We start from the raw sequence: 15,147 nt of genomic DNA, 5'->3' as shown, positions 1-15,147 counted from the left end.
GGGCACTAACTTATTTGACCTTGTTTTCCCACCACCTAATTGAGGACCTTAATAAATGTTGATTGAATTTACGAATGAACTACTTTTGCTCACGGCTAGCATTTTCAGTCTTTTTTCTACTCTCTAGACAACTTATAATCCACAAATAATCAACAAATGACTCAGTTACAACCTCCTTTCCCTGCAAGTTGTTTATCCAATCAGTGACACTGACAGATTTGAAATTCACCTCAGGCCAAAAGGGTAAGTCAAATAGGCTCACAGCTAACAGGAGAGAATGGAATTGCTTGGACAGCCATAAGTAAAATCATTCAATCTTTAGTAATGAGAACTATTTGGTTTTTACTATTTCTTTATGTCTGAATTACAACATCTTCAAGATAATTAATTTTACAATATTATATCACAATATTGGCTTTTTCCCACCATCCCTTCCATCATCATTAGCATATTTGTATTCATCCTTGTGCTGTCACCTCATAGGGTCAAGATGGCTGCCAGTTCTCTAGGCATTGCATCCACCATCAACAACTAAGTGGAAAGTAGTGGACAAAAGGCTTTTTTCTCTTGGGGCTCCACCTTAAAACTTCCATTTTTATTTCTTTGGCTAAAAGTGGTTATCATTTATACTCCCCCTAGAGCACTCATTGGTAAAGAAGAATGGAGCTAGTATCATTACATTAGATCAACCAGAATTTGTCCACTGGGTCTGGGTCTTCCCTCATGTTGAGAGACCTCTGCTGGCTACATGGACCCAAAATCTAGGCCCTTTGTGCAGAGAAGAAGGTACTAAATGGCTGTTTGGTTGGAAATGAACTGCATCACAATTATTATCAAGAACTTATAGATAAGAACATAGAGGCTCAGAGAAGTTAAACAATACCATCAGCAGTACACAGCTCATGAATAAAATGCAAGATTTCAATCTTCAATGCCATCATCAAATTAAGCAGTTCTTAAAATATATAAGGCTTGCAAAAAAAGAAGGGAACCCCTTGGAATTAGGGCATTCCTGAAGAAGCAAGTTAGTAGAAGAGTGAAGAGAAAAGGAAAAGTTTTACTTAGCTGTCTACTATAAGCCAGGTAGTATGTTATTTACACTGTTTCCAGACTTAGAACAATTGATTTTACAAAGAAGGGCCCAGAGAAGTTAGGTAACTAGCCCAAGGTCACACAGTTTGTTAATATGGTACAACTATTGAAAAGCAGGTATTCTCATTCACAGCCCATGATCTTTGCATGCCATTGCCCTGTCCTTTTGTGTAAGCACACAAAATGGGTGTCTGGAATCAAAACTTACACCATGAGAGGGAAAGTCCAAAACTGAGCCAAGGGATTGCTGGGAGAAGGAAGGTAGAGAGTAGATGGCCGTCCAGGAATCCCTGTGTTCCTCTAATTGCCTGATGCTGTGTTTTCAGACAGGATTCATTGTCCGCTGCCCACTGAACTAGTCCCTCAGAAACAACTCTGCTTCTGACATTTTCCCATAAAGCTGTCACAATCCAAATTCTTACTTATTTAAAACTAGTTATTTGTTTAAAGCCATATGAACACAGTGGTGGCTGTGGGTGGCTGGGGGCCAGCAGAGTGATCTAAATGGCCTAAATTATATGGAACCCTCATTTTCTATCCTGACAGCCTGCCTCTGAGATAGAGTCTGGGTCCAAGAGTGGAAATCAATTTTGAGCTGAGGCGTGCTAATAATTACTTCTGCAAAGCTCTTGCTGCCATATCTAATTCTCTCTGCGGGAATTCTCTGTGATGAGGGATTAGATGAGAGATAAGAAGTTTAAAAGAGCAAACATCAAAGTATCTTTCTAGAAGTTTCTGTTGGGAGTAAGAATGGGACTCTGTGGATAAGTAAAGCTTCAGAGGCAGGCAGCCTTGGTTTGCAATGCCAGCTTTACCATGTACTGGCTTAAGATTGTCAAGATATTAAATTTCTCCATGAATTTTATTGGTAAAAGTAAGACTGACAAAATTGGCCCTTTGAATGCCTGTGGGCATAGCGCAAAGTAAAGCTCAGCCCATTGCTTGGTACACAGCAGGTGCTGTTTACTGTCACATCTTCCCAAAAGCTCCCTTCTCAACTGGCTCTCTTCCACCCATTTGGATAAGGGCTGAAGAGCTGTTCAGATACCTGCTCCAAGGCCAGGTATCTAATGCCCAGTTGTAGAGGCATGCAAAGCGGGCTGACGGCGCCCTTAACATTTGGTAGTCATCAGATAAACGAGACCCTGATGCCATAGGTCAGATTCTGACATTACAGCTAAGGGAAGCCAGTTGCCTAGAAATGGAGAAACTGGCTGGCAATTAAGCAAATTTATAGATATTTCTAAAATTCCTAGGAGCCTAGATTTAGCGGGGAAGGAGAGGTAGGAGTAGTGGTGTATTTTACCAAAAGCTCAAATAAATCCAAACCCAACAGAATCACTGCTCAGAGATGTAAAAAGACAAGAAAACAATGAAAGGGCAGAAAAAGATTATTTTTCAAAGGTTTTCTGGTTGGGACAGCAGGCACACACATACTCTGTTTCTTTTCTTCATCTTCTCAGGCTGGCCCCAGGGTCAGAGGAAGAACCATCCTCCTCTGGTTTGTTTTTATCGACAGCCTCCAAAGGAAAGTTTTGGGAGAACTTTTTTTTTTGCCAATTTGGATAATGTCTTGCCCTCTAATCCAGAAAGTGGATTTTTTTTTTCACCCAGCCTTGGAAATCAATGCCAGTTTGTTTATTTATTTATTTATTTATTTCTGTAGAAATTTTGCACAATTTAAATATGTGCATGTTCACATTGGCTTCATTTTTCTTTTCTTTGCATAGATTTCCAACTTAATCAGGAATGGCTGGATACTGTAACTTTTTGGCACAAACAGCAAAAAGAAAGGGGGGTAAGTGTGGGGGGAGTTCTTTTCCAGGACTGAACTGTTTGCACTCTTTGTTTTGATGGTGCCACCTGACCCCCCTGGGAAGGGTTGAGTTTCTCCACATCCATCACGCCTACAGAGGGCTGTGTCAAAAGCCCGACCAGGCCTCCCCCTTGCCCATCTATGGCTGATTATTCACTGCATTGTGTTCTGAAGACGCACAGGCTGTCACGGAAAAGGTGCCTTCCTGCCTAGCCGCTCAGGACATTGACTCTTGTGAGCCGACTTTCCTCTCTTATTCCCATATCTATGACCTTCTCTTACTGTTCAGAGCCGTTTCAAGTGTGAGCTTGCAAGGTATCGTTTTTCCAAAAATGTTGGCCCATAACCATCGGCATTCAGATATGAGTAAAAAGATATGTTGGTAATAAAGCCAAACATAACAATTAATGCGTCAGGATTCCAAAGCACATTTTGCAATACCAGCTCATGTTGCAGCTGATGTCAGAATGTACATGCTGTTAATCTAATGAAAGGGCACAAGGATTTCTCTAAGTCCTGCACATATGAAGACGCTATCAGATCATCTGACTTTTTGTTTGAGCACATTGTGTACCACATTGAAAGTATTCCAGCTTGATTTCTATCCTTCGAAAAATTCTCTCCTTATCTGCTGAAGTCAGATTTGGATATATTCGCAAGGGAGTAAAGATTTAGCTGATCAGAATTGGAGTCATTAAGCAGGCCTGGAAATTCCCTATCAGGCACCCACGCCAGTGTTTCTTGGTGCTGCATAGCTTAAGAATTTGGAAGGAATGGGGCAATGGGCCAAACAATCTCATCTCTGAGGTTTTTTTTCTGAAATTGATGAAGGCACTGTGCAATCACGCAGGATGAAACATTGCAACTAACTAGATTGCCTTTAGTACCTTACCCTAATTAAGCCAGTATTGAAACTGTATATAAGCAGTGTACCAGGAATTGCAAACTCAGGTGCCCAGAGGACCACATAGGACAGTTGGAGGGGATGCGAGACGGTACAGTAGTGGGGACAGTGACAACCAGAGAGAGCATTCTTTGTCTAGAGGGACATTCACTACTCTTCTATCCTGAAAATGCAAATATGGCAAGATTTTCTATTTTTTTCCAAGAAAAGTCAAAAATCCTGATGTTTAGGATACATTTTTAAATCTTGGCTACCAATTCAATTAAAAAAATCCATGCAAGTAAAGAGTCTGACTGCTGAATTTGGCCCTTATGATATTAGCTTTTAATCTCTACAACAGACTAGAACTTGGAAATTTGTTTCTACACACAGAATTTGAAGCTTGACAAGTTGAGAGTTATAGTGACCTTTTTCTTGTGACTTCTTGGACAGTCTGTCACTCAGTCCTGCACAAAGAATGATTCAAGATAAGGGCTTCTTATCCATGGGCATCCCGGGGTCCTTCACCACAGTTAACACACATTGGGGATTGATTCAATGATGCTGCTCTTTGTTTCCTATGACTGCTAGCCCAAATTGCCACAACCTTGGTGGCTTAAAACAACACTAATTTGCTTCTTGACAGTTCCGTTGGCTGGAATTCTGACATGGCTCTCACTGGGCTAAAATCAAGTGATGGGCAGAGTTGCATTCCTTTCTGGAGATTCTGGGGGATAATCCATCTCCTTGCCTTTTCCAGCTTCTTGACACTCCTGCATTCCTTCCCCTTTCTCGATCTTCAAGGCCAGCAGTGGCAGGCTGAGTCCTCACACGACATCCATCCTATCTTGCTTCCATCACCATGTTCCTTCGGACTTTGGTTCTTCTGCCTCTTCCTCCACATTTCAGGTTGCTTCTGATTACGTTGGGCCCTCCTGGATGATCTCCCTATTTTAAAGTCAGCTGATTAGCAACTTTATTGCCCTTTGCCATGTAGCCTAACATATTTTCAGGAAGGCCTGTTGAGATGTGGATGGGAGAACCTGGGGTTGAAGCTTTAAAGTGAGACCAGTGAGCCACTGGCTTTTAACCTAGGGAACTCATGTTCCATTGACTCTTTGGGAACCTTCCCATGAATGACAGCGCATTTCTGGTGACTTACTACCTGGTTGCTTACCTAACGTGAGGGCTGTAGACGGCCTTTGCTTCTTGTCATCATTTCTCCTCTTATTGAGTTTGGGAATCACTGGCCATTCCAGAGTAACCAAAACCAGAATACAAACAGCGTTACATGGGGCAAAGAGATCAGCAAGGGATGAACATAGAACCAAGTGTTCTCAATGTCTGCTTTAAATGCCTGCTTTTATGGAAGATGTACAATGGTCTTACCATTCATCATTTTCGTAAGTCATATGATATTTCAGCATGCCATTCATCCCATTATTTTTGCATTGAACCAAAGCAAGTTTTCTTCAACTGCAATTTTCTTCCCTAATCTTTGGAGGCTCATACTATCCCCTCCAATTAGCTGCTCAGCACCTCTGCCTGAAAAAGATAAAAAGATTCAGGTAGCAAATGCCATTTCCTGTCTACTCACTTAAAATCCCTAAAACCAAGGACTTTGTTTTGTTTCTTTTCTTTGCATTTTTGTTTTTCAATTTGCTAAACCTTTATTGAATGGCTTCACTGTCTGTAACACTCCATTAGGGTTGGGATGGGGAGACTAATTTTTCAAAGTAAATTAAATGTCTTCTATTCCTCATTTTCTTATTGAGTATACAACTGGGTAAAAGTGGAAACAGGGGAGAAAATGAGTGAATGTTGGAGAGTGGAGAATGCTGCCTGGGGACTAAGAATGGATCTAATGAGCTTCAAAATATCAACTGGAATGTTGCTATTACAGTCTGGTTTTCTGCCTTAAATATTATTTTGTGCTACAATTGAAAGGAGAGAATATTCCACGTTGGGTGAAAAAGTTGAAAGTAATGCAACATGGCAGGTCAGGGTCAGTGCTGTGGTGTGAATGATGGGGCAATTGAGAATGGGTCTCCCTTAGATTCCACCTCATTTTTTGCAGTTTTTGGCCAATGCCTTGATCAGAACTTCTTTTCATGGTCATAAATATGTGCCAACTTGTGAAATTCAAGAGAAAAAAGTACTCTATCAAAATAAAACTACAAAATTCTGAATGTTGGTTATTGATGTTGCATGTAGCTGATTGTATTGCAATTTATTTAAAAATAAACCTGTCTTCCCCTTGAGGCTGAGGTGTTGAGGAAGCAATGAGTCCTGACTTAACTTGTCCTTCCAAACTTGAGTCATACTTAGCACCTGCTAGGTGCTTAATGAAAATGTGATTTAGGTTCTGCCCTTCACTCCTCTGAATTCCATTCTCCCACCAGCTTATGATATCACAAAAACACGGTGCTAGGCAGGATTTTGGCCCCCATGACTTTCACCCGATGTTTTATGCTTGTGATTATGTTATGTAATTAAGGTTGATAATCGACCTTCAAATAAGGAGATTATCCTGGATAAACAGCGTGAGCCCTGGGTAATCACAGGGTGCTTGAGAGTGGAAATGGAAGGTAGACAGATGAATCAGAAGAGAAGTGCAGCATGAGAAGATTCTGATCCTGAACTGTAGGGGTTGGACCATTGCAAGGTGTGGAGAGAGGTCTTTGAGAGCTAAAGCTGACCCCCGCTGACAGCCAAAAAGGAAACGGGAACCCCAGTCCTACAACCACATGGAACTGAATTCTGCCAACAATCCAAATAAGCCTGGAAGCAGATTGTCCCCCAAAGCCTCCAGAAGGAATGAAGTCTTGCCAATGCCTTGATTCTAGTCAGGTGAGACCATGTCAGATTCTGACCTACAGAACTGGAAGGTAATAAATTTGTCTTGTGCTAAGCTACTAAGTTTGCAGTAATTTGTTACAATAGCAATAGATAACTAATTTTAAAAAACTATTTGTAGATCCCTAAAAATCCTTCTTGTAGACACTTTGTTTCTGGTCTCTCCGAAAAGAAGTGTCCCCTCCCTCCTCCTAACCACAGAGCACCTGCTATCCATTTGACACTTGTAGCATAAGACTTACCGTAACATTAGCTCAATTTTCTTGTACCGTATCTGACGCAATTGACTGTAAGTTCCTTGAAAGTAAGGACCAGGTATTAGTCATGTTTCTCTCTTTTTGCATAAGGCTTAAGGGAAGCCATTTATTTCTGACAAGAAGGAGTCCAGAACTTATTTGGGAGAGAGGTGGTAGCAGGCTTGACTATGGGAATTGTTTCACAGGCTGGGGTCTACAATGGGTGGCAGTGTTCAGCTCTAGTCCACCAGGAGGGTCACTGCCAAACCTGAAGGAGAACCAAGTCAGATACAGCAGCTACCATAGGAACCCAGATATCTGAAGCCAGGAAATGAAAGCAAGTACACGCATGTTGGGAGCAGCAGGGAAGGACCTGGAAGATTACATAAAACATCTGCTGAGTTGAAAGATTTGCCTTTGGAGCCCAGTAGGATATAGTTGACCTGACTTAAAGGGCCCAGGACCTCATGGGTGTCCAGGGATAGCCATTTTCCTAGCTGGCAAGCTATAGGCATCTCCCTATCACCAGACTACCATCAAGATAATAGCCTTCAAGCAATGTATTATCTCTAATAACCTAGGGAGTAACTCCTCACAAAGAATTCTAGAGTCCGAATTTATAACTAACTAACCTTGAGTGGGTCTTGCACCATTTCACTTGATTCCATAATCTGAGTCTAAAGCTTCAAAAATAAGATCTGTTCCCCCACCTCCCCTCCACCCGCTACCACACTCACGTTCCCACTTGGCTAGCCTGGAAAGTTCAACTGTAGAGACTACCTTCTATTTGGATCTCAGTCAACCCTAGGCGCTCTCGTGGTTGTCTCAGAAATATGGATCGTCTGCAAATCAGACTTTTCAGCTCACCAATCCCAAGTGGTAACCTCTCCAGCCAAGTCACCCCTGGAAACATATTTTCAACTCTTTTAGCAGAGAAAAATATTTGGATCTCTGCCTATTTTGCAAAGGCTTAGCATCAAATTACATACTCAGGGCTTCTGTTTTTTTAATATTATGTGTCTGTACTATTTAAACATACATGGAAAGTAGTACTTCTTTCCTAACAAACTAAAGCTTGCTGGCGCCAGAGTTGCATTGGTGACTGTGACTGTTGTGTGAGTTGTGTCACTGGGATGCAGTTAAAGGCCTCAGCAAAGTGGTCTGAATGCTCAGGATGGAGCCAGCCGGATTGGGACAGGGAATGTGGCCCTTCCCTTTGCTTTTCTGGAAAGCGTGATCATCACTGCTCCTACAAAGACTTTCCATTAATTACTCAAATGTCACATCCTGTGTCTCCAAGCTGACCACAGTAAGCCTTTGGATATTGAAATGTTATTCTCCTTTTATTTGTGGATACTCTTTTCATTCAATATTTTTCCTGTCTATAATCTTTTTTTTTTTTTAGTTTAGAAAACATTCTTAGCCTAGGTATCTAGGCTATGTGAGCACATGTGCTTTGTAACACTACATATTTCAAGAGGAAAAGAAAGAGATTTTTGGAACATATTTTCCAAGTCTCAACTGATTAAGAATCTATTTTATCTTCTATGTCCATGAATAGTTCACCAATGATGTGGCCCAAGTCTTTTACCCTTGAATATCGTATAGCGTCATTAGTGCAGACTTCCCTTGGGAATTAAGGAAGATTTGAGCAGCAGCTGCACTGAAGCTTATGGTCCCACAGTCCAGGGAGGAAAAGTTAGCTGAATAAATTAACAATATAAATAACACTTCAGAGGTTTTTTAAAACCAGTTAAGAAAACAAGCTATCTCCAATCTCTCCATATGAATTATTAACATTCTAAATTCTAATACTAAATTTGTTATTTTGTTTTATTAAGCCAGGCATTTTCATTTTCCCTGCTAGGAAGGCCCTTATTAACATAGCTTAAGTTATTATATCTACCCGAAATAAGTATAACTATATATCTTTAAAAATTAATACTTTTTAAACATTTTCAACCAGAATTTTGCCCCATTTAATGATGTTTGACTCCAGCTTTAATTACATAATATGCTGTCTGGCTGTTCCCTTCCTTTCTTTCCCTTAAGAACCTCATTTTGACTTCGGACAGCTTTCTTTTTACTTGACAAGTGTCGCAAAGTCCTTGCTTAATTTACCTGGATTCCCAGTGCTGGCTGATGAACAAGTTGTGTTTCCTAGGAGGCTGTGATGGTAAAGTGGACTCACAGAATCTGTGCCATCCAGCTCAGCCATGCCCTCATCAAACAGAACTCACTCTCCTGTAGGCCTGCCACAAGTGGAGGCAGGAGCTCACATTTTTGGTTCACCTGCTATGTGCCACATGGTACAAATCACTAGAAATGCATTACCATATTTCATTCTCCCAGGACACCTAAGACAAAAGTGCCATTGTCCTGATAATTTCCCACTCTACTTAGAAGAGCAGGGTTTTAGGCTAAGGACCATCTGATCCCAAGGATCATATGAGTATATGTAAATAAATTGGTCCCTTAAGTCCAATAAAAGATCCAATAAATTACAACATCCTTTAAAGAAAAGCAGAAACAATTTCACAAGTCAACCACTTCAGTGGAACTAAATATTTTGTTGAATTTAAGGAAAGAATTGTCTTACACGTAGTACTTTAAATTGTAATAAAGAGTTTTGAGTAAAACAATGACAGGCCTGAAAATTCTTGTAAACTGAATACTTTGGAGGTGATTCAGATAAATATTAAGTCAGGAGGTTATTTCTTCTTTTGCTTTTCAGAGTTATTTTCTGACTTTCGCCTGATTAGGGTGAGATGAAATTTTTTGCCTTCCCCTCAAACCTGCAAGTTTTGTCATAGCAATGAGAGAAAAGCATGGCATGGGTGAATCATCTTTAGAATATGGAAAGTCAGGCATGTCATTTCCCTGTTCTAAATGCTTTAAGGAATCCCTGATGTCCACAGTAGAATAATCTAAGCTCCTTGGCAGAGCAGACAAAGGCTACAGAATCCCACTGTGACTTGCTGTGCAGCCTCTCCCCCGGCCCTCTACACCTGCATTCGGTAACAGAGACACCACTCCAGGTCCTCATGGTCTGGATGTCATTCTGTCTGCCCAGGGAGGCCATCTCCACTCTACTTCAAGCATCATAAACCACTGCCCTCCTCACTTGTTTCTGTCCTACCCAACTCTATTCCTGCCTCAACAGGGCATCTGCCTTTGTGTATTGTAATCCCGGGGCTGTGTGTTGATTTCTCACTAGATGTCAAGCCTTCTGAGGACAGACACTGTGTCTTTTCAGCTCAGCATCCCCACAGTTTTACTAAGTCACTTTGCCTATTGTGGAATGAACAACTTTCCTCTGAACCCACTCTGAGGTCTATAAGCCCAGGTTTAAGCAATAGAAGTTAAGGACAAAATGGCAAAATAAGAAAACTGACCTTTTTTACATTGGGTGGTCTATGAAATTCTAGACGAAATTTTGTACATCTGAGCATTGGTTTCCTCATCTATAAAATGTAAGGGTCTACATAATTGGCTCTAAATGATGTCACCCACAGCTAGAAGGAGCTAGAGTCAAAGGATGACCTCCCATCTCCAGACCCTCATCTATTTTCCTTTTATCACAGGTCCTGTTTATCACAGGTCTAGTCTTGACACTGTAGCCAAAATCTTAGCAATGTGAATTCCTTTAGGTCCGTTGAGCCCTAAATCTCCAGTTTCAACATTTTTTAAGTGATTTTGTTAGAAAGAAATAAGCACTGGGCACATTACAATTCAGGGACAGCCCGATGATGAAAACTACAGATCGTGTGGTACTGGAACTAACACAAGGAAAACCTTTTCTTCCTTCTTTCTTTATAAAATGTATAAACTGTGGCTGTCTATGCAGCAAAATATTCTTGAGGTATAAGATATCAGTAAATAGCTATTCATAACATCCTGAAATATACAACTTTCAAAATTGAAAAAAAAAATTTAAAGGAAATATGTAATACTAAGAGGATTGGAGATAGTTAATAGTTAATAGTTTAGAGGAGGAGTTAATAGTTATCGACAGTTATATTCACTGTGTTGTCTCCTAAGTAAAAGAATGCATGGAGTCGACTTAGGAATTTAGTTACAAAGAATAATAAAATGCATTTCAAAAGCAAAATTATTGGATCCAGATAAAAAAAATTTCAGGCCCAATTGTGTGCTGCAAATAATAGAAAGAAAGTTGTAACTTCAAATATTTCATAACCAATTTAAAAGAAAGACTTCCTTCAAAGTAAAATCATAGTAGTTTACAAATTAGAAGATATTTTCACTATCTGAACTTCAGACACATGGAGAAACTATATACAGTACACAGCTGTCTTTACATTGCCCTTTTTGTTACTATAAAGTACAGTAAAAAGAGACCAATCCCTGTAGAAATGAGATATGCTCTTTTTTGTCAAAAGGAGTTGCACTTTCATGATTTCCCACAAAACAGCTGCAAAAATACCTACAGTAGGGCATCTGGAATTCTTAAAAGTGACTTGAGGATTTGTGGCTAATGAAACATTGTGAAATAACACTCACCATGTTGTAAAAACTACCCTTAACCATTTATTGGTATTTTTTAAGACAAAAATGAAAGGTGCCCTAAGCATATTAGCCTAGCTTGATTAGAAGAAAACACTAAAGTGACAAAGAAATAGTGTAAATAAATGCCTTGCCAGAAACAAATCTTGACACAGTAGACATTTAAGTCTCTTTTGAAAGTTATGAAGAACAGTGCGGTAAAATCATAACGTGACGGCTGTCCCTTAAGTGTTTGATCAGATTGCGGGACATCATCAGTAATAACTTTCATGTTCTTAAAAAATGTGGTTTCCTATTGAGACTGAGCATTGTTCCCAGGGAAAAAAAAAGATGGAATTCTCTTAAAGATGTTTTTCATTTTTACCTCTCGCAAAGCAGGACTATCAAAATGAAAGCAATGGCCTTTTCATGAGAACTTGGGTCAAATAAACCACATATTGTTCCATCTTAAAATGAAACATCTGGTTGATTTAAGAAGAAAACGAGCTTAATTATTCTTGAGCATCTAACAGAGAGAGGTTAACTTCTAAATCTATATGTCTTTCCAAGCTAAACATGGAGGGGGGAAAAAAACTATGAAGTTATTTTTGACTCAGGAAAGTAGATCTGGAGGTAATTTAGTGAACACAAATTACCATTGACAAGGGAAGAAATAATTTATTCTCCTGGTGAGTCTTTTTTATTTGAGTGGGCAGTGTGGAGCTGTCAGCAGAGAAAAGGCATTTGGATGGATTTAAAATAATTGAAACCCAAGTCCAAAATCCTATAAGATATCCAAGGTATCATATATAGTTGTGACACTCCTTGGAGAAGTTTAACTTCTAAACTGAAGCATGAGGGTGAAGCCATGAGATATAAATTTGGGTAGAGGAGAGTTCACAACTTGGAGATAAACAGGTTGGAGGGATAGCCATCCTAAAGTATTTCTTAACAAATCCTTTTCTTTTAGCCTCACTTTCCATTTTTTCCTTGGGTTGTCAACCTAAAAGTCTCTTCTCACTTGAGTATTTATGGATGTCTTCTTGGAAGTCCTATCTCAGCTCAAGTGCTCCTCCCTATGGCCCCTTCCTTGAAGGTGGACCTTGACTCGCTGTTGATGGTCATTACCAAGCATCATCCCCTTGGAAGGGTGTTGTCCTTTCCCAGCTGGAACCATAAGGCATGGGTGGGATGAGGCATTGATTTGGTACCTGGCCAAGCTTCCCTCAATGTCCTGTTTCCTCTTCTTCACTTGCGTGTCACTGAAGACTAAAGGGATGATCAGATTTTCCTGAAGATATGGAGTAACTTCAAGACAACTACATCCTAAGAGAAAAAAACTTTTAAAAAACTTACAATTATACTTTAAAACTGTCTTCTCTCACCGTTCTGGCGGAAAGCACCTATAGTTGAAAGGAAAAGTGCCTTCATAAGGGATCTCCTCCAGGTCACACTCAAGTTATTCACCTTGACCTTGACCACCTGACCTGTACCTCCCTCCACCATTTCTTCTTCTAATCTCCATGGTGTGAAACTCTGCAGGCTTTTTGGCTCTTATCACAGGCTCAACTCACGATCTGTCCTTTTCCCTGCCCAGCACTATACTTCCTCCAGTTTAGAACATTTTCCTCTCTGAGAGGAACAGCAGACTAGAAGGAATTGTGATTGTTGGTAATTAGCCTTTTAAGTCAATGAACAAGCCATCTAGCTTCCTTTACATGATGGAGAGACTGTTGAACACACATACTTACATATCTCACAGAGACAAACTTTAAATCTCAGAGAGTATCAACTAAACTTGGAGGGAGAGGAGTAATTACCTGACTGCACCATAATTTGCAAAACTGCCTCTCTCCCAGTGGAGTTTTACTTCACCATATTACACAGAGCTCTGTTAATGCAATCCCTTAAACCCCAACAATGCTCTCATTCTTTCTTTACCATCTACAAGGAATAACCGTATAGCTTTGGTTAGAACACTCTTTTAACTTCACAAATACTCCTCCGACACTTTGAGGTTGCCAAATACATCAAATTCTTATCTGAGCGTCATCGTAGTCTTTTTCTGGGGTAAGGAAGTTATAGTGACACCTGAAATTATTTTATTGATGAAGATTTCATAGCTGGCTATTGGTCACATAATCAAATGCAACGTCGGTAGTCACATGGATAATCTCAAATAATTTATGCTCAAAATAATCTTAATCTAATGGTTTATGTATATTGGAAGTGAGATATGTTAAAAATTTGAAAATCTACTATAACTCAGAGAACAGTGAAGCTCTACTTTAAATACCAAATGCAAGAAGCCCTGAAGACTAGCAGCATATTTGCAATGACTCTTCAATGCCACATCCATGTTTCTGGGGATTGAAGTGATCTACCTCATCATTAGGAATATTCTGGAACTCAGGCAAGTCCTATCTCTAGCTCTGTGATTCTCAAACTCTTTCTTAAGGGAGAGGTGTGTGTGTGTGAGGAGGAGGAAGAGGAGCAGTAGCAGCAATGTGTGTGTATGTGAGAAGAGGAGGGAGATGAAACATAGGGAAGGGCTACCAAATGCTTTTCATGGCAAAGATGGCTCAGGAAAGCCAAGTTTCATGAAGAATCAGGAATGTCTATAGAAGCTCTATATATTCAGGACCCACCTTAAGCAAAACTGTCAATGTGGTCAACTATACTTTGTAAGACTAGGTGGTAAGCTAGTCTTACCAGGAGTTAGGTTGTATGACAAATCATTTGCTCAATGAATCCCACAAAATAGGGGAAGCAGAACATCCCTCATATTACCTATACTTTTCCTCACTGCAATTTCTTGGTTTCATGCTTCTGCCTTTATTGTTTAAATTGGTGTGGGGAGGGAAGGGCAAGAGAGAGAGCAAGCAGAGAGAGAGAAAGATCATTTGCTAAGGAGGATCTGAGTCCCAGGGATGGGGAGAGGAGTTGTAGGCAAGGCTCACCAGAGAGGAAGCTTGGAATAAGCAGCTTGAGGCCCCGTTTCTAGCACAGTTGCCTATGCATTGTGGGATCTACCATGTTTACACCAGGGAAAAGAATTGAATCTACATTAGTAGGTTGGTTTTATGTGTGTTTAATGCCCCATGTAAGAGAAATGAAGATTATCTCTACTTTAAAAATAAATTAATAATAAATTCAGGTACTAGAGTTCATTTTCAATTGCATTATGAAAGATTAATAATGTAACTAAAACAAAGACATTTGACTTTATTTCTAAAGGTGATATTAACTTAGGAATTCAAAATACTGACTAAGATGAATGCAAAGTGATCAGGTGACTTTAATATTATGCTGAACAGCAAATCTTAAAAATGAGTGCTACTAATGGGTCTTTTTTTTTTTTAAAGGATAAGAACACTGATTCCCAGCCATGGTTTGGAGTTGTTAGGAGAGCTTTCTGATCATCCAAGGACTCTTAAGGAATTCGCCATTTTAAGTCCTCTGAAAAAAATACAGGTATTTGTTACTCACTATTTGATTATTTCAGTGGGGGGTTAGAATGTTAGGTGGAGTCATGAAATAGGGCCAAATAATTTAACGTTGCAACTCACTTAATAAAATTAAATCCAGGATACACAAGTCACTGAGTTGGGAGAGAACTTTCTGGAAAAGTTACAATTAAAGCAAGAGGGCTTCTCATCAAGACAGGGCCTCAGGACTTTGGCACTGAGGCATAGCCTTGTTTCCAGGGAAAGAAAAGAAGTTTTACACATTCTTTGAACTTATCTTCACTGCTTTAAAAA

General features: G+C 39.8%; 1 long non-coding RNA gene across 1 annotated transcript in view; it reads right to left on the bottom strand.

Annotated features, from left to right (window-relative positions):
* The window catches only part of GAS1RR (GAS1 adjacent regulatory RNA), a 53,336-nt gene that overhangs the window by 14,928 nt on the left and 23,261 nt on the right, over positions 1–15,147 (bottom strand). Inside the window, exon 3 of the long non-coding RNA NR_049794.1 lies at positions 5,181–5,336. This is a non-coding gene — a long non-coding RNA (GAS1 adjacent regulatory RNA). The remainder of the gene's footprint in view (positions 1–5,180; positions 5,337–15,147) is intronic.

The sequence above is a fragment of the Homo sapiens genome, chromosome 9, assembly GCF_000001405.40.
Source record: "Homo sapiens chromosome 9, GRCh38.p14 Primary Assembly".
In the NCBI taxonomy this organism is placed as follows: Eukaryota; Metazoa; Chordata; class Mammalia; order Primates; family Hominidae; genus Homo; species Homo sapiens.
The sequence above is the reverse complement of the archived record's forward strand: the minus strand, read 5'-3'. Positions and strand labels throughout refer to the sequence as shown.